We start from the raw sequence: 22160 nt of genomic DNA, 5'->3' as shown, positions 1-22160 counted from the left end.
TTATTCGGGGCGTCTTCACTGAAGGTTCCCTTTGCCCCAAAGGCTCTTGCCTCAGATATCCACATGGCTCACTTCCTCACCGCCTTCACGGCTTTGCTCAAATGTCACCTCCGTAATGATGCCAATCCTGACACTCCATGTAATACTCAAATGTCTACAGCCTACCACATTTATACCTTCTCTTACCTCCCCCTACTTCTCCTGTTCATTTCCCACAACACTTATTACTAACATGCAGGACGATCCCCTACTGGTTATAGGTGCCGTTCATTGTCCTCTCCCACTAGCACACAAGCTCCAGGAGGCTTTGCACACTGATGTCCCAGTGACTGGAACAGTTTGCACACACTCTAGGGACCCCGCAGACTTTGGTTCCATTAAGAGGCCAGATTTCTTTCCCTTTTTTTTGTTTTGTTTGTTTTTGTTTTTGAGACAGAGTCTCACTCTGTTGCCCAGGCTGGAGTGCAGCACCATGATCTTGGCTCACTGCAACCTCTGCCTCCTGGGTTGGAGCGATTCTCCTGCCTCAGCCTGCCGAGTAGCTGGGACTACAGGTGCACGCCACCACACCCAGCTAATTTTTGTATTTTTAGTAGAGACGGGGTTTTGCCATGTTGGCCAGGCTGGCCTCGAACTCCTGGCCTCAAGTGATCCACCTGCCTCGGCCTCCCAAAATGCTGGGATTACAGGCATGAGCCACCGCGTCCAGCCAAGAGGCCTGATTATTTTTTTCTTTCTTTCTTTCTTTTTTTTTTTTTGAGATAGAGTTTCGCTCTTGTTGCCCAGTCTGGGGTGCAATGGCACGATCTCTGCTCACCGCAACCTCCACCCCCTGGGTTCAAATGATTCTCCTGCCTCAGCCTCCTGAGTAGCTGGGATTAAAGGCATGTGCCACCACTCCCAGCTAATTTTGTGTTTTTAGTAGAGACAGGGTTTCACCATGTTGGTCAGGCTGGTCTCAAACTCCCGACCTCAGGTGATCCACCCACCTCGGCCTCCCAAAGAGCTGAGATTACAGGGGTGAGCCGCCATGCCTGGCCCAGAGGCCTGATTCCTATCAAAGTCTGCTCCTTGCAGGACCTGGGCAAAGATCTTTGTAAATCTGAGCTGGATACCTGAAGCTTATGAACATTAAACTTCTCCTTGTTGACTCAGCCTCCCTAACAGTCTGTTGAGATATCTGTTTGGCTCTTGAATATATGGGACACTTTGTTAATGCTTTTATTGATTTGTGTCATCTACCCATTTGATTAACCTGCCAAGTGGGTGAGGCAAATGTTGAAGACTCAGAACCTGGGATGGACCCCTGTGGCATTCCTCTAGAGACCCTGGGGTGGTCACTGCCACAGTCATCAAAATGTTTTACAAATTTTTTGGACACGTGAAAAAGTAGAAAAAAAAAATGGTACAATGAACAATCACATGTACTCTAGACTCCACAACCCTTAACGTCTTGCTGCATGTCCTTAGTATGAGTATGTATGCACATGTGCACATGTGTGTACGTGTGGAATCTCCAAGACAGCCAGCCCACAGAAACAAATCAGCATGGGCAAATTTTTTCTGCAACAGGCCAGAAGTAAATATTTTCAGTTGTGTGGATCTATGGTCTCTGCCTCAGCTATGCTGCTGGAAAGCAGCCAGAGAAGTGTGTAAGTAAATGGGTGTGAGTGTGTTCTAATAAAACTTTATTTAAAAAACAAGGAGGCAGCCTGAAAACCCTGGGAAAACAATAACTGGCATAATTCAACTTTTTCCTGGGCAGATGCCACAGCATCCTGCAGGGTAAACACACCTGACATCAATATTTTAAGCATACCCTTAGAATGACCCTGTATGACAGGTGCACCTGAATGTGTGTTCCAAACTAGGGAATCCGGGAGTGGCCCACCCAGAGATCTGTTCCTATCTACCACAACATCTGAGCCTCCGGCCTGTCCTGTGGAACACGGGCTGTACAGGGGATTGAGGCCCTGAGTTTTGGGTTACTATCAGGGGTGTCCAATCTTTTGGCTTCCTTGGGCCACATTAGAAAAAGAAGAATTGTCTTGGGCCATACATAAAATACGCTAACACTAATGATAGTTGATGAGCTAAAAAAAAAAATCTCATAACACTTTAAGAAAGTTTACAAATTTGTGTTGCGCCGCATTCAAAGCCATCCTGGGCTGCATGCGTCCCACAGGCCTTGGGTTGGACAAGCTTGGGTTACATGAAGGTTGCCAGGTGAGGGCTGTTAGGAGGAGGGTGCTAAATGAAAATGCTGCGTAAACTGCATGATGTTCGCAGGCGGTTGCAGTTGTGGTTTTCTTGCCCAGTCTGCCACCACCAGACTGTAGGAAGGTGGATATGTTGTCCAGCCTGCCACCACTGGACCGTTTCTGAACATTAAGGCAGTTCTCCTGTCCAGCCTGCCACCACTGGACCGTTTCTGTATGTTAAGACAGTTCTCTTCAACCTGCCACCACTGGACTCTCTTCCCTGCATGTAAGTCCATAATAAAACTGTATGTCTTGTTTGCTGGCTCCAGGTCTCTTCTTTGGCCTCTTGAACCTGGTACCTTCCCTACTGAGGTTAACAGGGGTTCAGCACAACACATCCCCACACGGAACCCTTCTGGACCAGGGTCCTTTGACCCAGAGTCACCAGAAGACAGGAGATGGGGACAGGAAGAAGGAAGGAGGGAGGGAGAGCAGAAGAGAGGGAAGCCAGGGAGGAGGGAGTGAAAGAGAATGGAAGGGAAAGGAGGAAAGAACAAGCAGATAAAGGATCAGGTTGAATGGAAGGAAATGAGAACTCCCTAAAGCGATGCGTGTGCCTGATACAGTTTGGCTGTGTCCCCACCCAAATCTCTTCTTGAATTGTAGCTCCTATAGTTTCCACGTGTTGCGGGAGGGACCCAGCAGGAGGTAACTGAATCATGGGGGCAGTCTCCCCCATACTGTTCTTGTGGTAGTGAATAAGTCTCATGAGATCTGACGGTTTTATAAGGGGAAACCCCTTTCACTTGGTCCTCATTATCTCTTGTCTGCTGCCACGTAAGACATGCCTTTCACCTTCTGCCATTATTGTGAGGGCTCCCCAGAGGCTTAATGTGAGTCCATTAAGCCTCTTTTTCTTTATAAATTACCCAGTCTTGGGTACGTCTTTATCAGCAGTGTAAAAATGGACTAATACAGTACCGATGCCCATGCCACCCAGAGCAACACAGCTGTGAACATGTGGGTGACCTTGATTTACTATTAAGCACACACACAAGAAAAGCTGTCCTAAGCCCTATTATTGTGTTTGCCATGTTAATACAATGTTTGTTATGAAGAAAAGTATTAGAAATAGAAATAGTATGAAATTAGAATAATATGAACACCTATTGTTTCAGCAGTTAATATTTTGCTGAGTTTCGTGTGTGTGCATGTACACGCACTTCATTTATGTCTGTGTGTGCTGTTGGCCATCTCAAAGTAAGTTGTCTGAGTCGTGATGCTTCATCCTCCCTAAATAACATCACAGCATTGGACACTGTCAGGAGCCATCCTCTCAGTCAGCTAATTTTATTTCAACTTTAATTTCTTTTTCAATCAAGTCCATCTTCAACCGCGTGGACAGGATACACAACAACTGAAAATCTCCTGCTCCACCATCTGTATATTTCTTAAATTGGCTCTCTGCATGTAGGCATCGTCCACCCCCTAAATATTTACCAACCCTCTGCCGTGATCTCCATCTGTGATTCAAAGTGCAGTGCTGGACCGGCGTCAGCATCACCTGGGAACTTGTGAGAGATGCAAATTACTTGCCCCCCCACCCCACCCAGACCTGCTAACTCAGAAACTCTGCCAGTGGGGCTGCAATTGCCTTTGTAACAGCCCCTCCAGGTGCTTCTGATACAGGTTCCCAAGATGTGAGAACCACTGCTTGCTGCCTTCTGGTCCGGCAGAAGGAGGAGGAGTGCCTACCCTCCAGGTGCTCCCAGCCAGGAAATTAGCAGTAGAAAGAAAATCAAAGGATCAATTGTGTTTTGCATCTTCTAAAGTTAATTGATAGTATCATAACTTTCCCCCTGAATAATAATGATATAATATGCTCTGGCAAGGACTATTTCTGCCCCACAAAACACAGATTACAAAACACGGTAAGCTCTGCAAGTAGATGAGATTCAGCTGCGACATGTCGAATTATGTCAAGATGCAGGGAAGAAAGGAAGCTAAAAATAGCAGCACAGGCTCAGCACCAAGAGCTTCGGATCATCAACCTCAGGACTGGAGAGAAACTGCCTCCAGCCATTCCTCGGGTCCTAAGAGGCCCTAGACAGGAGGAACGCACTCCCATCCATATGTCATGTGCCTTCATGCCAACAACTCCACGGTGCAAAGCGTGTGGCTCCCAGGGAGGCAGGAGTGAGCAGGCTGCTCTGAAGAGTGGTATTTTATACTTTAAAAATAGAATTTTCTGAGCATCCACGATATGAACAGTCACCCCACAAGCAAAACTACTGCATTATATAACAACGATGTGTTGAAGCCCTGTAAGCCACGGGCTGAAGGTGTATAATATAGACTCAGGGCTCAACAGCTTGGCAACCAAAGAGTTAATACCCAAAACATACAGGAAAAAAAAATCTATATCTATTCCGTGTAGACAGAGAATTGCAAACTGCCAAGCTACCTATGGGCTCGGCTCAGGAACAGAAGAAAATGTATGGGGAAGAAAGAGCGCATTTTCATACTGGCCTCTTATTGCAGCTTGTGGGGTGAAAGTTGTGAGATTCAACGGCAGTACGTTTTCAGAACATCTTATTGGGAATGCTTCCTTCTGCTGAGAGTTGCACCTAGGTGACAACCGAAATGGTGGCTCTGGGACTGCATTCCTCTGATCCTCTCCTTAATTAAACAATACACTCTTGATTATTTCTGAATGAACCTCACCATGGATTTTTCTGACTTGTTATTCTTCGATTGTGTATGTGGTTACCATCATTATACACGCACATAATTCCGTAATTCCTCCTCAAAGAACAACACGCAAACCACACTCCACAAAAGGACTGTTAATTTCCCATATTTCCTGTCCTCTAAAAAGAAAGCAAGCATTTCAGGGAAGGGGTTTTAGCATTCAGACAACCTCTCCTGAAGTCCTTGGGATCCTGAATCGCCATTTTCCACTGGGTCAAAAAAACATAAAACCTTGCAGCTTAAAAACGCAGCAGGCACCTTTGGAAACCAATGTTGCTTCCAAGAACTTAACCATGACCCATATTAACTGTGAATTAGAATTCACTTCTCCATCGCCTTCTTGGGCCCCAACTCCAGACATCCAACTTCACTTGCAAACCATTTTTCAGAACCAAAAGTCCACAAATGATACCAAATGTAAAACCACACAAAAGCCAAGTGTGCCTTCTCCCTCACCCACTCCCACACTCCCACCCAGGGTTCAGTGGTGGAGATCCCGGAAGGACAATGACTCCTGATAGTGGAGCATATGTTCCTGACACTAAATGAAGGCTTCAATCTCCACTGTGGGAAACCTCCTCTACTTTGAATTTTTATAAAACCTGGCTTAAGAATAGGACACCATGCAGTCAAAACGCACATCAATGACAATCTATTATTTCCTGGAAACGATCTTACAATCTACAGACAAAAAGGCATCTGAGGGGAATTTTTATTTTTAGCCCAGAAGTAATAGGTTAAAATACCATTCACATGCAAACAAAAGACCTTCGTGACTCTTTCTGGACTCTGTGCCAGAAACCCAGGGCTGATCCTGGTCTGACTCCCTTGATACATAAAAATGACCCATCTGTGGCTCCAAGAGGGGCAGCCCCCACCCCTCACCCCAGACTCCAAATGCAGTCATCCGATTCAAGAACAAAAAAAAAAAGCCATTCTCTTAGGGCCCTGCTGCTGCTAGAATTTGCAAACCCTTTGCCTTTAAGAAGCCTGCTCCCTAAGCAGAGTCCCTGCCCTCTGCCTCACCAGAGATGTGGGGCAAAGCAACTCACCTTATGGTCACAGAGGGATCCTGGATGAAGGGCTTTATCTTCCCCAGAACCCCTGCTCTCCCCGCGGGCTTCTGGAGTCTTTCTCTCAAATCTCCCTGAAAGGTCAAGATTGGCAAAGAGCCCTCACAGCCCTGGCACTCTCACTTGCTCCTGGGGACTCGCTCCGCTCCCTGAGAAAACCTCCAACCCGGCGCAGCACTGCAATTGTCAGGAAGCTCCTGTCTGCATTTTGGGGCTGAACACCATTATTATCTGTCAACATTTTTAAATATAGATGTTGCAGGAAGCAGAGATGAGGTGGGGGTGGGGGTGAGGAGGGCAACCCAGGGTCTGAGGGTCCGGCTCAGTGGATCAAGTGCTGGCCCCCAACAAGCCTCCCCTCTGCTCAGGGCCAGGCGCCCACTCCTCTCTGTGCCCGAGACGTGTCACTCAGCACTGCCAGGACACTGCCTAGGCTGGCATCTGGCCAGAGCCTGGCAGAAACCACCTGAACCAAAGTCCTGAATCCCATATACAGAACCCACGATGGCAGCAACTTCTCCTGGCCTTAGGCAAGTTCCAGGAACTAGTGGGACTGGAGTTTTTCTTAGGGCCCTCTCTTCTCCTTCCCTACCACAATGACCTTGGTGACCTGGGGCAGAGGGGACCTTGGCCATGCAGAGTCCTGAGGCGGCTGCTGAAGTCTTAGATCAGGGAGGCTGCCTGGAGCCAAGTCCCAAGGGACCTCAGGAGGCAAGAAGGAGTCTGATATGCAACCTGAAAACAAAAAATGCTGAAGCCAGGGACCCTTGGTGCACCTTTTATTCCGGGCCCAGGCCCAGGCCCAGGTGGCAGACAGATGGGGAGGTCGAGGACCTAGGGTCACCTGTAGCACCAACACCTGCTGCTGCAGGTATGTCTACTGCTGGCTTAGTTGCAGGAACATAGGGTCAGCTGGGGAGGGGCCTGGTGCAGGGTTTCTCAGCCTCAGCACTGGTGACATTTGGGACCACACAATTCTCTGTGGTGGGGGCTGTGCTGTGCATTGCAGGAGGTTTAGCCGCATCCCTGACAGCTACATGCCAGAGGCCAGAAGCACCCTCCACCCCAGTTATAACAACCAGAATGTCTCCAGGCACTGCAGTGTCCCCTGGGGGAAAAATCACCCCAAAGAAAGAAGTGCTGCTGGCAAGAAAGACAGCCATGGGTCTGAACCAGGACCCCTACTCCATAACCATCTGAACCCAGGCAGGGGACTTCACCTCTCTGATCCTCGGAGACAGGGACAATAGCCCAGAACCAGGAACTTAACGAATGAAGCTTTGCTATGAAGAGGTAGTTGCCCCCTGACACCCCAAGAGCCCAGATCCTTCCTGCAGGGGATGGAGGAGCTGGACTCAGATCCAGGTCCAAATTCTGCTCCCAGCACATTGTAGTGGGGGCATCTCTCCCCTCTTCTGTGTACCCACCTGTACAATGGGGTACCCTTCCCCAGGGATGGTGTGATATGAGCTAAGAGAGCTACCCAAAGTTCCTATCACAAGGTACAGCCTCAATACAATTAGCTGGGAAGAGGGAGAAGGACAGGGAGGGAGAGGGGTAAGTGGAGGGGAGGAGGGGGAAGGGAAGAGGGAAAAGAATAGGGAGGGAGAGGGGTAAGTGGAGGGGAGGAGGGGGAAGGGAAGAGGGAAAAGAATAGGAAGGGGAGGAAAAGAGAGGGGGAAAAGGAGGAACAGGGAGGAGAAGGGGGAGGAACAGGGAGGAGAATGGGGAGGAACAGGAGAAGGGGGAACAGGAGAGGGGGGAACAGAAGGGGAGGAACAGGAGAAGGGGGAGGAACAGGAGAAGTGGGGGGACAGTAGAAGGGGGGATAGGAGAAGGCAGGAGAAGGCAGAGACAGGAGAAGCGGGGGACAGGAGAAGGGGCAACAGGAGAAGGCAGGAGAAGGCAGAAACAGGAGAAGTGGGGGACAGGAGAAGGTGGGAAGAGGAGAAGGGGGGAAACAGAAGGAGGGGGAACAGGAGAAGGAGGGAACCAGAGAAGGGGGGAACAGGAGGAGGGGGAACAGGAGAAGGGGGGACAGGAGAAGGCAGGAACAGGAGAAGGTGGGAAGAGGAGAAGTGGGGAACAGGAGAAGGGAGAGGAACAGGAGAAGCGGGGACAGGAGAAGGGGGGAACAGGAGAAGCGGGGACAGGAGAAGGGGGGAACAGGAGAAGCGGGGAATAGGAGAAGGAGGGAACAGAAGGGGAGACAGAAGAAGCGGGGACAGGAGAAGGGGGAACAGGAGAAGGGGAACGAGAACAAGGGGGAACAGGAGAAGAGAGGACAGGAGAAGGGGAAGGAACAGGAGAAGGGGGGACAGGAGAAGGGGAAGGAACAGGAGAAGGAGGAACAGGAGAAGGGGAAGGAACAGGAGAAGGGGAAGAGGGCAGAGTGGGGCAAACCCAAGGGCAGGAGTCAGAGCCATGCCCCCCGCCCCAGCACTGCCTGGGGCAGCACATTAATTCTGAACATTCTGGGGGCGTTAGTCCACATTCAGGGTCTCTGGGTCTCTAAACGCAGCAGCCACAGGCTGTCTTGACAAGTTGTTTCCACCTGTTAGAAGACGTCTTGCCCTTGCTAATGACACCTTTAAGCGGGAGGTGGGAGGGAACCAGCCCAGGACACTGACAGCCGAGGCTGGCTCCCGATTCCTGCCCCTTGTCAGGGTACAGAGCACAAAAAACCGAAATCTCAGCTGAATTTCATCAGAAGCTCGACTCCTCGGGCAGGCAGGTCTGGAGACCAGCGCGGGATTTCCTGGCCTTCCCAAGCTTCGGGGCTGCTCTGCCAGGGCCTGCACTGAAACCCTACCAGCTTGATCCGGCCTTCCTGTCAGGCTCTTCTCCTCTTCCACTGTGCAGGTCAGGTGAGGAAACCAAGGCTCAGAGAGGCAGAGTGAGCTGCACAAAACTACCCAGTTCGGACACATTTGGGAGGGGTGTAGATACCACTTGGTCCACCCCAGGCCTGGCTCTGACCTTCTGCAGCTCTGAGGCACTGACAGCCGAGGGCCCATCCAAGAGCTCACTGTCCCAGCCCAGAGACAGTCCCAAGACAGCACCAAGCAAGCCCGGGTACAAGTCGGAATCCTGGGGCCTCCACAGGATAGCAGGGTCCCCAGGGTCACCATCCCAGCTGCCTGTCTTCCCTTGTGTTTGGGAGCCCCAGGTGCTGCCAGGCCAGCTCCCAACCACCTGAGCACTGGCCACATTCAGGGCCCCAGAAGCCCAGGCTGTGAGCAGGTCTAAGAGAATCCAAGGCCTGCCCCTTGTCGTGCTGCTGACCTGGGCGGGGCGAACCGCAGACACCCCGCTTAGCGCCACATTGCTCGGCCATCAGGAAGAGATCCTGCATCTGGTGCCCAACGCCTGTGCTTCATGAGCTCCTCACTTTGATGGGGGCTTCCAATACCAGGTCTTATTGAAAACTTAAAACAACAGGCCACAGAGTGAAGGATTCTATTCCCATTCTACAGATGAGCAGACTAAGACCCAAAGAGGCTCAGCCAGGAAGAGAGGGCTGAACCCAGTCTGGGGTCACTCCTGCCATGCCCACAGATAAACTCTGAGAAGATGCCAAATAAATTGAGGTTGTCCCAGGAAGATGCCCCAAAAGCTCCAAGTCTATTCAAATCCACAAACTACACAGCCTCACACACTAGAGAGACGCTGAGGGAGATGAGGTACCCTCCTGCCCTCAGATTGCTTGCAGCTCACCGTAACAGACACATCCAACCTGCAGGCAACTCCTCTGGGCTCTGTGTCCAGGGCCTCTCTCCAATTCCTTCCCTCTTCACCAACCCCACCACCACAGCCTAGGCTAAGCCCCACTCACCTCTCTTGCCTGGAAGCCCCCAAGGCTCTTCCCACCTCCACAGGAGCCACCCTGGAGTCCATACACCAAAGGGCAACCACAGGCAACTTCCTAAAACTTTGCTGCGGTGTGTGGGGTCAAGGGGGAGGATTAACCTGACTCGTGGATGAGGAGAGAGATGGTGGAGGGAAGGAGGCCGCAAGCTGGGTGTCGGGCACACAGTGGTGTCTCAGGAGACCCCAGAACCACACCGCTGAGTCAGGATGGCGCTGCTCACGCACGTTTATCAGGTTCCATGTGCCGAGTGCAGACATTAAACCATTTAATCCTCACATCCTTAGAGGCTGCCCTATTCCTCTCTTGATGCCCAGATGAGGAAACTGAGGCTCAGGAGGACATACGACCCACCCATAGTCACACAGGTGGATTCCACAGCCCAGATCCTAGCCCCCATGGCTAGGGCCTCCCCAAATATCAGAGCTGCAACCCCGACCACTGAGTGTGATTCTACATGCAGGCCATGGCGTTTCCTCTCCATCTAGCTGAGAGAGGTGCATGTGAGGATCACTCCACTTTAGAGATGGGAAACTGAGGTTCGAGGAGGCAGGAAGGTCAAGGGCAAGTGCAGCATTGGGACAGGGACTCAGGGCACTGTGACTCCAACGCAGGGATGCGCAGCCTCAGCAATACTGACATTTGAAGCTAAATGATGCTCTGTGGCGGGGGCCGTCCTGGGCACTGTGGGGGTACTTAGCAGTATCCCTGGCCTCTGCCCATGAGATGCCAGTGGCACCATGCCTCCCAGCTGCGACAACTGAAAATGCCTCCAGACGGTGCCCAAACTGCCCACATTTGAGAACCGCTTCTGAAAGCTGTGGTTACAGCCACGGGACTCCAGACTTCCTTAGGGAAGAATCTCTAGCTGAGGCCTGATGGGCCACATTTCAGAATAAAGGAGGATCCCTTTCAGCACATTCCTCATGCCTACGGTTGCTCCCAAGGACCAGATGCAGATGTCCTAGAGAGGCCAGGCTGGATACACAGGTAAGTAGGTGAGGTGAACCAGGTGTGGATTCTCCACGTGGGTAGTCAAGGACTTGGCCTAACTGGAGAAGGCAGGTCCTGCCTGGAGCAGGCAGCAGCCACGCAGCCTGGCAAGAGCCATGGCCAGTCCGTTCCTTCATTAAGTGGATGGACCTCATCTACCAGGCATGGTGCAGGCCCCGGAGACAGCCAATATCACAGCTGGACAATTCCATCCTCATGAACCCTCTAGCCTGGCAATAGCCAGCAGTACCCGAGCTCTGAGTATTTCAAGCCAAGCCAGAAAGAAAATCCAGATATTGGTGTGAAATCTCCCTACATTTAAATGTTGGTTCAATGAAACACACAAACACTGTGTTCAAACCAACCAAGTCTGCAGGCTGACCTAGGCCCACGGGCCACCTGTTTTTGACCTCAGGTTTCTACCTTTCCTTTCCACCAACTAAAGCAGAGGAGGGCTAAGCCACCTCCCAGCACTGCCTTTGAATTCTGTGGCTTCCAAGCCAGACCCATAAGAGAAAGAATGCATCATCACTTTGGAGAAACCGACTCTTACTCTAGCCCTTCCCCGGCAAGGAGAGAGGAGGCTCACCCAGCATGGAGCCGCACCCCCAGCCTTCTTGTGAATGTACAGATGCTCACAGCCCCACTTGCCCAGGCCAAGGAAGCCACTTCACCAAGGCCCAAGGAAGGCCAAATATTCTGGAAATCCCCCTTCAGTTGGCTCCTGTGATTTTCCATGACAGGAATTGATGCTAAATGAAGAAAAAAAAGCTCAGAATAAACAGAAGGAGAACCACATGGTTCTCTCTGAAACCAAATGCTCTCTCCCATTGGACCAGGGAGGAGCTGTGGAGGGGGTGGGGCAGCCTCACAAGGTTGCTGAGAAAGCATGCGCACATGAGCACAGAAAGCATGCCTCTAGCCCTTGGTCTGGGAGCAGAAAGTACGAGATTGCAGAGGAGAAGTGGCAAGAACATTTAAGGTGCTGGTGAGCAACGCCCAGGAGATGGCAGTGAGAGTGGGAATAAGTGCCGGACTGGGGAGGCGTTCTGGAGACAGAAACCACAGCACCATCTGGGTCTATGGACCTGTAAATAGCCAAGTGCAGTAGAAGATGGAACATGGAGCAGGCTGTAAACACAAGCACCACGTGCTGTCACAGGTCCAACAAACATAAGCTTGAATGCTCCCTCTAGGACACCTTAACGACAGAAAAGCCTGGGGTCTCCCCGGACCTTGCAGGATGGAAACAGTAAAAGTGCCTGCCCCCCCCCCCCACCCCCGGCAGATGCCTGTCCTCATTTACCCTCCAGAGAAGGTCAAATGCAGAGAGAACATGGAGGCTTCCACGTAATTGAGAATGCAGGTTGGTGGATGTGTGTCCACACTCTGGCCATTCACATGAGCTTGTCCAGGGCAGGGGACGACTGCACCCTGTGAGGCCAAGTCAGACTTCTCACAGGACAAAAGAGAGGTTTCTGCCTCAAAAGGTGGCCCCATCTCCAGGTCTTCAGAGGTTCATCATAGTCCACCCATTTCTGAACTTGACCCAGACCAGTGAAATCCATGGCTCTGCACCCATTGCCCTGCCCAGAGAGACATCTTCCCAGTGCCCACATCTGAAACAGCACCCATCACTCCTTCTTCCCTGTAGGCAGCTCCATTTCCCACCACATTCGTCATCACCGACATCATGGTGTGTATTAATAGCTATTTGTTGTTGGTCATCCACTAAAGATCAGAAGAAAGAGCAGCACCTAAATGGCCCCCACTAGAATGGGACCTTCCGTGATGGCAAGAGTCTTACCTGCCTAGTTCACAGATTCATCAAAATGCCTTGCACAGCACCCAAGACTTACTGGGCACTCAATAAATATTCACTGGGCACATAGAGAGATGAATTAATGAACTCTACAATTGATAAGCAGACAGTTACATCAAAACAAGAACGTTGTGAAAGGCAATTTAGGTTAAAACAATTAATAGAAACAACACAAACGTCCCTCAATTGATGAATGGGGAAACAAAGTGTGATGTATCCAGACAGTGGAATATCATTCTGTCATAAAAAGGAATGGAGGGCTGACACATGCTACAACACGGATGAGCTTCGAAAACATGATGCCAAATGAAGGAAGCCAGTCATAACCGCCACATGTCATGTGATTCCATTTCTATGAAGTGTCCAGAATAGGCAAATCTAAAGAAACAGAAAGCGGGTTACAGGTGGCCAGGGGCCGGGGGAAAGGAAAATGGAAGTGATTCCTAATGGACACAGGGTTCTCTTTAGAGGAGAAGAAAATATTCTAAATTTCACCACAATGATGGTTGCAAAACACTGCTCACATACTCAAAACCATTGAACAGTACACTGCCAATGGGTGAGCTGCACGATATGTGAATTATCTCTCAATACAGCTGTTACCAAAAGAATTGAAAGAAAACTTTCAAGGCAGCTTGGCCATGGATCAGGTTTTCCTCATTTGGAGGCCACTTCTTGAGTATAATAAATTAGGCAATGAGGAAAAGCGGCACTGATTATTTTAAGTCCCCAGGGGTCAGTAATTGACCCCATCTTCAGTAGTTAACACAGTCTTGAGACAGGGAATGCTGAGAAAACTCCTCAGTGCTGAAACCCTCCCTACTCCACACCGGGGGTCACACTGAGGGCTCTCCCTCCAACCCTAGGGAGTAGAGACAGTTCTGGTCCCCATTTTACAGCTGCAGAAACTGAGGCTCAGATAGGTTGAGCTGCCAGGCTGAAGTCACACAGCATGCAAATGGCAGAGGCAGCATCTGAAGACACATCAGTCTTATACTAAAACTTAGGCTTTGGGCCGGGCGCAGTGGTTCACACCTGTAATCCCAACACTTTGGGAGGCCAAGGTGGGAGGATCATTTAAGGTCAGGAGTTCAAGACCAGCCTGGCCGACATGGTGAAACCCTGTCTCTACTAAAAATACAAAATAAAATAAAATAAAATAAAATAAAATAAAATAAAATAAAATAAAAAAATTAGCTGTGTGTGGTGACGGGCACCTGTAGTTCCAGCTACTTGGGAGGCTGAGGCAGGAGAACCTCTTGAACCCAGGAGGCGGAGTTGCAGTGAGCCGAGATCATGCCATTGCACTCCAGCCTAGGCAACAAGAAAGAAACTCTGGCTCATAAGTAAGTAATAATTTTTTAAAAACTTAGGCATTGAATTGTTCTGTTGAATTGTCATCTAAGGCACATGTCATTTCCTGAACTGCCTAACTGGAAGGAGCTTTGAGAGGACCTGGCCTAATATGGACAAAGGGTCCCATAGAGAAAAGAGATGTATCTTAAATGGTGGAGAGCTTTGTTCCCAGGAAACAAATTGAAATGACATCTGAGCAAGGAGCTGTATCTGCACAACCCCTGCAAACTGTGAGAAAGGCCAATGACCCAAACGAGGCAGCTCACTGTTGCAGGAGGAAGAGCCTGGAGCCTATGTACAGGTGTACATGTCCACCTCTAACCCCGTACGGGTGTACGTGCCCACCTCTAAGCCCATACAGGCGTACGTGCCCACCTCTAACCATGTACAGGCGTATATGTCCACCTCTAACCCCGTACAGGTGTACGTGCCCACCTCTAACCCCATACAGGAGTATGTGCCCACCTCTAACCATGTACAGGCATACATGTCCACCTCTAACCCTGTACAGGCGTACGTGCCCACCTCTAACCCCGTACAGGTGTATGTGCCCACCTCTAAGCCCGTACAGGCATACGTGTCCATCTCTAACCCCATACAGGTGTATGTGCCCACCTCTAAGTCCGTACAGGTGTATGTGCCCACCTCTATCTGTGTACAGGTGTACATGCCCACCTCTGCCTCGGTACAGGTGTATACACTCACCTTTACAAAACTAACAAAAGCAACTGTGGTTCTAGGAAGGACAGCGACTTTCCTAGCACTGCCCTTGTGGCTCGCCCTGCAGAATTCACTGCTTATTTCCAGCCAGTGATTAAGTAGGAGGTTTTAACTCGGAAGCATGAGCAGTGCCTGAATGGCCATCACACACACCTGCCCCTTCTCGTGACACACATCTGCTTAGACAGAAAGGCCATCCACAGCACAAGAGAAAGGAAGCAGGACAGGAAGCCTTTCAGGACTTCCTTGGCAATGGAGCCACCTCTGTATTTCCACCCGCTCTGGTCTAAAACCTAAGCCCCAGAGGCAGGCTGGCCTGGAAGGAAAATCTGGTGAGTTGTGATGAAATCAGGATTCTGCATGAATTTCTGGAGACAGGGGAAAGTCAGAAAAATCCCTTCTGTCTTGTAATCAGAAAAGCTGAATTTACATGGCGAGGGTGTCCCTGCTTTGTTTCCTGTGATGTTTAGGGGCATCTATCACAAGGCCTCATGTGTTCAGGATTCACAGCTTAGACCAAGGGTCTTCAAGTCACATGCATGAAAAGGCAAGTGGGAGAAGTCAATAAATGAGACAATGAGACGGGCTAGTTGGGAGGCAGAGTACACTGGAGCAAATGCCCTGTGGCAAAGCAGCCCAGGTGGCAGGGCCTGCTGCTTATACTCCTATTGTGGGAGCCCCACAGCTCATTGGGCCAGCCACGCCCACTGGGCTAGAGGGTTGGTTGATTTTTTACTTTTACTTCTGATGTTATTACCTCAACCTCCCCTGCCTCATGCCCTGCGATCACCTCATCTCACCATTAGCCCATCCCAAGACAGAAGAGAGAGGTTTAAATGACAACCTGGGAACTTAAAATAGAATCTCATCACCCTGAGCAACTGAGGCACCTCCAGGCTGAGATCTCCAGGTGGTCTGTGTCCCACGTTACTTGTCAGGACTGTCAGCACTGCTGTGCCTCTGCTGGGCACCTTGGACGTTGCTCCCCAAGCATGGGTCTCTCTGTTGGTCAATAAACGACCCTCAAAGGTAATGAAAGGGAAGTGCTGCAGTTTCATGTGATAATAATAACAGTTACTGTTTTAAAGATTACACCGTGTAAGGACCAGAAGCCCACTCAGACCAGTTTGATCAGAAGGGGCGTGATGGGACTTCTCTGGATCTCAGGACCTGGACCGCGAGCCTGCCCTGCATGTCCCCTTCCTCTCCGGGAGTGGGCTCCCGCCCCTGCTTCAGTCTGCATGTGGAAATCAGGTCTCTCTCCCTCTCTCTGTCTCTCTAAATGTCACTCTCTTTCTATCTCTCTCTCTCTCCCTGTTTCTCTATCTCTCTGTCTTTGTCTCTCTCTCTCTTTCTTCCTCTGTCTCTGTCTCTCTCCATCTTTCTCTTCCTTTCTCTCTCTCCCTGTCTCTCTGTCTCTGTCTCTCTTTGTCTCTCTCTCTCTACCTCTGTCTCTGTCTCTCTCTTCCTCTGAAATTGAGCTCCTTCTGCTCCACCTGCCCACAGCTCAATGTGCCCACAGCTCAGCTGTCACAGAATGGTGGCCCCAGGCCCTGAATCCACCTGACATTCCAGCCCTGTGACTTTCAAGTGACCCCTGATGCTATGTCCAACCCTATCTTTCTGTAAAATAGACCAGTGGCCTGGTTTAGGCAGGGTGGGAGAGGGCAGACTCACAGGGCATGTGGGGCCGTGGCTTGCATAGAGCTGAACAGGAGATGTGGCGCAGGGAGGAGATGGCAGGACACAATGCCTAGGTCTGCCTGGAGCTAACCCCATGGGGTGCCTTCACACACCAGCATATTGATGTCCATCTCTGTTTATTTCTGCCTCAGCCACAGAAAGTCCAAGTGAGGAGAGAGCTCAGGCCGCCATGCCTCCCTGCAAGGCATGCACAACAGGCAGATGGAAGCTGGACAGACCTTCACAGCCCCCTCCACCACTAAGTCCCAGCCCCTGGGCCCCAGTCCTCTCTGGTCTCTTCCTCCTCACTCAAACCACTAGTGCCCAGCAGCTGGCTTCAGTCTCCTTAGCCATCTCCTGGGTTGCCCAATGCCCACGGAGGGGACTCTTGCAGTCCCCTGGCATCATGAAGCTTTGATGTCCTCAACGCCAACCCCACTTCTGATAACCATAAACATGGCCAACATAGAGTTAGCTTGTGGCGGGTTCTGTACTCCCCACACATAAGAATGTAAGCCTCTGAGTCCCAGCGTGCACCCAATCCTCTCGCCCTTCATCTCCTGAGCCTCCAGTCCACACAGGCTCTCCCTCCCCTCTCAGCCCCTCTGCAGGCTTCTCCAAGTGTTGTTTCCATCCAATTCAACCCAGACCCCCATGGGCAGTATTTCCAACCAGCACCCAAGATTCAATCACTCCCTCGAACTCCACCACAACCTCATTGCCCCTACCATCTGCTTTTTCTTATTTCTGCCCCCAAGTAGATAGCTTAAAATCTGCTGGAAAAAAAAAATCGTAATATGAAAAATTCATTTTACTTGGCTTGAGCAAGGTGCTAAGGACCTTCGGGTTCTTTAAGTATCCCCAGATGATGTTCTGTCCCATTTCCCAATTCTCACAGAGGTGCAGTGAAATCAAACACCTTTGAGTATCTTTGGTGGCATCACAAGTCAGCACGACCCTTCCAAATGGCAATTCTGCATCATTTCTCAAGAAGCACAGGGCATTTAACTGCAGACATTCGTGTCTGAGAATCTGTCCTGGAGAAAGAATCCTAGGTAGAGAGAGAGCCACATACTTGAAGGATTTCCTGCTATATTAGTAATCACACTGAAAATGGTGAAGCCTTGAAAATCTGCAACACAAGGGGAACCGTTAAGGAAGTTTTTCTACAGTGGGTATTCTACTGAAAGACTGCTTATGCCTGTAGTTTTGAAAATAAAACTTCAATTTAGACTACTTGGAATAAATTATTTGATTTGATTATAAAATAAAACCAAATAAATCAGGTGCAAAGTAAGCATAGTATACTATTAGGGAAGGAGACAAGAGCAAGTGCCTAATTCCAGCGAGAGGGTTGAGATCACAGAAAGGTCCAGGAGAATCCTGCACCCAGCCCGCAATGGATACCGCACGGGTATTCACTTTCGTCTGATGAATCAGACAGAAGGCTTCACAGACAATGTCAGATTTCAGGGGCTGACTTGTGAAAGGCGGCATCTGGCAGGTTGGCAGAAGACGTATGGTGCCTCCAGTGAGGGGTGGAGGTGAGACTTGAACCACGGTCTTAACAACTTTGCCACACTGAGATACACAAAAGGATTGGCAAGCAGCCCTTTGGCCTTTGCCAAGGCTGTGGAAAATGTATTGAAGCTTGGTTATGTGATTTCTGCCAGCAGTGAGGCACTGGCTCCCGGGATCAGGAGGGGGATGTCTGGAGTTGGGAAGGGAGGTGTAGGAGAAGGTCAAGGCTGTGGTCCAATGGGGAGTGAAGCCAAGCATGATCCTGGGGACCCAGACAGGGTCAGCAAGTGGCTGAAGCCACACCAGGAAACGGCTACGAGAAGCAGCCCTGGAGGAGCCTCCAGGAGGGCGGGAGGACAAGGTCACAAGGAGGCGGTGGCAGGCAGGACTGTAACCAGAGTAGGCTGCCCAAGGTTCACTTTGGAGGAAGAGCCATTCTGCTTGATGCAAGGAACAAGGATATGGCCATGGAGGTGGGTTGCTGGGGGAATTTGAAAACAGAAAGATAACAACTATGTATCCAATATCTCTCAAAATTAAAAAGTCCTTACACTCACTCCTTTTGTGGATTGTTCACAGCCTTATCTCCTTCCTGTGGGGAAGCCTACTATTTTTCTTATCCATTTGTTAATTACTTATCCATCTACCACCACTTTCCCAGTCTACTAAATAAAGACTATCCTTAATAAGTAAGAACTTACAGTTAAGTGTGGCTTTTCTCTCATAAGTGTTTAGGAAAAAGGGAGAATCACAAGAAAACAAGCAGTTGTCAATAAATTATGCTAAAGAGTAACATGGACGTTTCAATATGCATCAACATCTTGGACACTCTTGTTGGTATGTTTGGTAGAATATACAATATAATCGTTATACATAATGCCTTCAGTAAAATAAACAAGCAAGCTAAACAGACTGGTTCTTTGCCAAGCACGTGCAACCATGCTATAAGTCTTTCCACAGCCTTGTTCCCAAGTGTTTTCATCTCCGTTGCACAAGGAAATAACTTCAGCTCAGAGAAGCCCAGAACCCTCCTCAAGGCCACACAGCTCGAAAGCAGCAGCACTGAGGTGACAGCCCAGGTCAGCCGGCCCCAGAGCCAGGGAACCTCCTGCACGCGGCATCGTCAGTCAGCCTGCTCTGCGTGAGGGCTTGGTGTCGACACGCCATGAAAAGCACACACCCTTACTAACCTGAGTCACTGTCGCTGGACTACATGTCAGCTTCACAAGAACGGCTTTCACTAAGTAAGAGTGAACCGAAACATTTTCAGTCTCATTTGTTAAAAACAAACAAAAAACCTGAAAAGAACTGGGGGCCTCACTAGGTCTGGTCACCTCACTTACTCACACGTCCATGTGTGTTTCTGGTTCAGTGGCCCTGATGTCCTTCTGCTGGCGTCGGTCTGTCCTCCACGTCTCCACCCAGTTGCTACAGCCAGCCGGAGCCATCCTTAGCAAATCCGCCTCCCTCTCTGTAGCAGGTTGAATAGTTCCCCTGCCAAGATTCATGTCTACCCAGAACCTTGCCTAGAAGTAGGATTTTTGCAGATGTCATTCGTTAAAATGAGACCATGCTAGCCTATGGTGGGTCCTAAACCCAATGACTGTGTCATTCTAAGAGGAGGAGAGGATGTGCAGAGACATGCACAGTAAAGGCCACGTGAAGGCGCCCAGAGGCTGCGGTGACACGGCTGCAGCCAAGCAGGGCTTGCAGCCCCCAGACGCTAGAGAGGCCCAGGGGCATCCTGCCCCAGAAACTTTCAAGGGCAGGTTTCAGCCCTACTGATGCCTTGACTTCAGACCTCTGGCCTGCAGAGCCGTGAACTGCGAGGGAACACATCTCCATGGTTTAAAGCCCCCCAGTTTGTGGTCATTTGTTATAGCAGCCCTAGGAGACTCACATACTCTCCTTCACCCTCCCTGTGAAGTCCGTCACCATGTGGCATGAATGTCACCTCATGCAACACTCTGGGTTAGTCCAGTTCCCTCACCCACTCCCCATTTCCAGCCCAGGACTGGCCCCCAGCACCTCCTGCCTCAGCGATTGCAGAAACGGCCACCGTGCCCTGTACCCCCTGCCCCCTCCAGCCCCTTTTCCTCCAGAGGGCTCTCTTAAAAAAGCAATCAAATCATGTCACTCCCTACTTAACAGCTCCAACTTCTTCCCTTTCGTTTTAAGGATAAAATCCCACTTTCTTCACAAAGCTACAAAGCCACCAGGATGCAGCCTCTGAGACGTGCTGTCTCCATTAGCAACGTGCATGCTTCCCCCTTCCCCACCTTCCAGACTCATGGGCCTTTCGTTGGTCCATACATCCTGCTCTCTCCTGCTCAGGACCCCTGTCTGAAACACCATCCTGCTCCACATTCCTCTCCACCTCTCATTCCTCATCTAGGGAATGCTCCCCCACTGCAGGTCTCAGGGTAAAGGCTGCTTCCTCATAGAATCCGCCTCTGTGTCCCCCACCCCACCCCAAGCTGGGTCAAATCTCCCTGCTAAATGCCCCCACCATATCCTAAGCATCTTCACATACACCCATGTGTCATTCCTTGTCTAGTGTCTGTGTCTCTCAAGACTACATGCCTTTGAGGGTGAGACCGGCCTCTTGTTCACCACCAGAATCCTAGTGCCCTGTGCGGTGCCTGGAACACAGTAGATGCAGACAGATTTGGGGTGACAGAATAAATGAAGGAATGAATGAATCGTCTGTAGCTGCACAAAGAGTGCCCTTCAAGCACAAGTTTCCTGTCTCTAAATGGGGTCTCCTGTGCAGCACCGAATACAATATTCCACCGCGAGTTCCTTTCACAGGGGCCAAGAGAAACTGATCCAACCCAAGGCATCCCACAAGGAGATTAGGAGCCGCAGCAAGCAGCCCTGCCACTAGCGGTCACCCTGTGGACAAGAGAAGCCAGTAGAAATTTCATTTTTCACACCACCTAACTGCCGAAGCCAGTCGTGCACACAGATCAGGTTTCCATCTGATTTGACTTCCTGAGAACTCCCACCGAGAGGCAGGTCTGTCGCTGCGTGGCCAACCTGGAGTCCAAGGAGCCAAGACCACATGCATGCAGAAAATCACATGTATTGGCATCTCTGGCCACAGAAAGAAGCCCTGTGGAAGTCCAAGTTGGACAATTTTGAAGCTTGTTTAAGAGGACCTGGCCAAACCCATTTGCTGGTACACATTGTGCCATGGGGCTGAAGAACCAAGTCCTAAAAAGGGGGTCCTGTCCATTGTCCATTGAGTATCAGGATGAACTCAGCCACTCTGTCTGGTTCTCACAGGGAATGGCTGTGAGAGGGTGAAGGAGAGTATGTGAGTCTCCTAGGGCTGTTATAACAAATGACCACAAAGCCGCCAGGATGCAGCCTCTGAGACGTGCTCTCTCCATTAGCAACGTGCATGCTCCCCCCTTCCCCACCTTCCAGACTCATGGGCCTGTCGTTGGTCCATACATCCTGCTCTCTCCTGCTCAGGACCTCTGTCTGAAACACCATCCTGCTCCACACTCCTAACGGCACAGCCATCAACAAGCAGCCCAGTCCAGCAGGAAAAAGTGCTTTCTCTTACTCAAACTTCCTTAATTCAGAACAAAGTCACGGTACCCGGGCGTGCCCTTCTGCTAATCATGCCCCTAGAATCGAATCCAATTTTCCTTTCCCTGGAAGGTAATAGGAGGATCTAGAAACTGGCATAATCCACTGCCCACTTTAAAATTCTGAAACAGACATTAGGAAAATGAGAATCACAGTGTGAAGAGATACAGTCAAACAGACATTCAGGCTGCCACATTCTCTTCCTTATCCCTCAGAATTATGGAAAAACAAAGAATATATGTAAGGACAAATAGAAAGTGTTTCCCACAGATGAAGCAATGGTCTCCTGATTTCCCTTCTTTCTACTTTTCATAGGCAAAGGCAATGACTATTGTATAATTTCCCTATTTTTGGAAAATTGACTAAATTAGAAATGTTTCATAAAACAACTCACTTTCTGGCTCTCCAAGAGAATGATGTTCTTGCTGTAGATACTCAGTGTTTATATATGACTAACTTTTGTATGAAATCCAGATTATGGAGATGAAGTGATAGAAAACACTATTTAAGGCATTTGCCAGCTGACTGCTTTCACCCCTGACAGTAGTGCAATAACAGGGAATTGCCATAGA

The 22160-nt window shown here is 50.0% G+C and overlaps 1 protein-coding gene across 11 annotated transcripts in view; it reads right to left on the bottom strand.

Moving 5' to 3' along the window:
* Positions 1 to 22160, bottom strand: part of PHACTR3 (phosphatase and actin regulator 3) — a 270203-nt gene that overhangs the window by 164943 nt on the left and 83100 nt on the right. Inside the window, exon 1 of one of the 11 annotated variants that reach the window (XM_017027627.3) lies at positions 19332 to 19595. The exons of 9 other annotated variants lie outside the window; for them this stretch is intronic. The gene's annotated coding sequence lies outside the window, so the exon portion shown is untranslated. Of the gene's footprint in view, positions 1 to 6004; positions 6088 to 19331; positions 19596 to 22160 lie in introns of those variants that run through there. One more of the 11 variants, NM_001199506.2, reaches the window with a different exon arrangement.

This window comes from Homo sapiens, chromosome 20 (assembly GCF_000001405.40).
Source record: "Homo sapiens chromosome 20, GRCh38.p14 Primary Assembly".
Classification (NCBI taxonomy): Eukaryota; Metazoa; Chordata; class Mammalia; order Primates; family Hominidae; genus Homo; species Homo sapiens.
The sequence above is the reverse complement of the archived record's forward strand: the minus strand, read 5'-3'. Positions and strand labels throughout refer to the sequence as shown.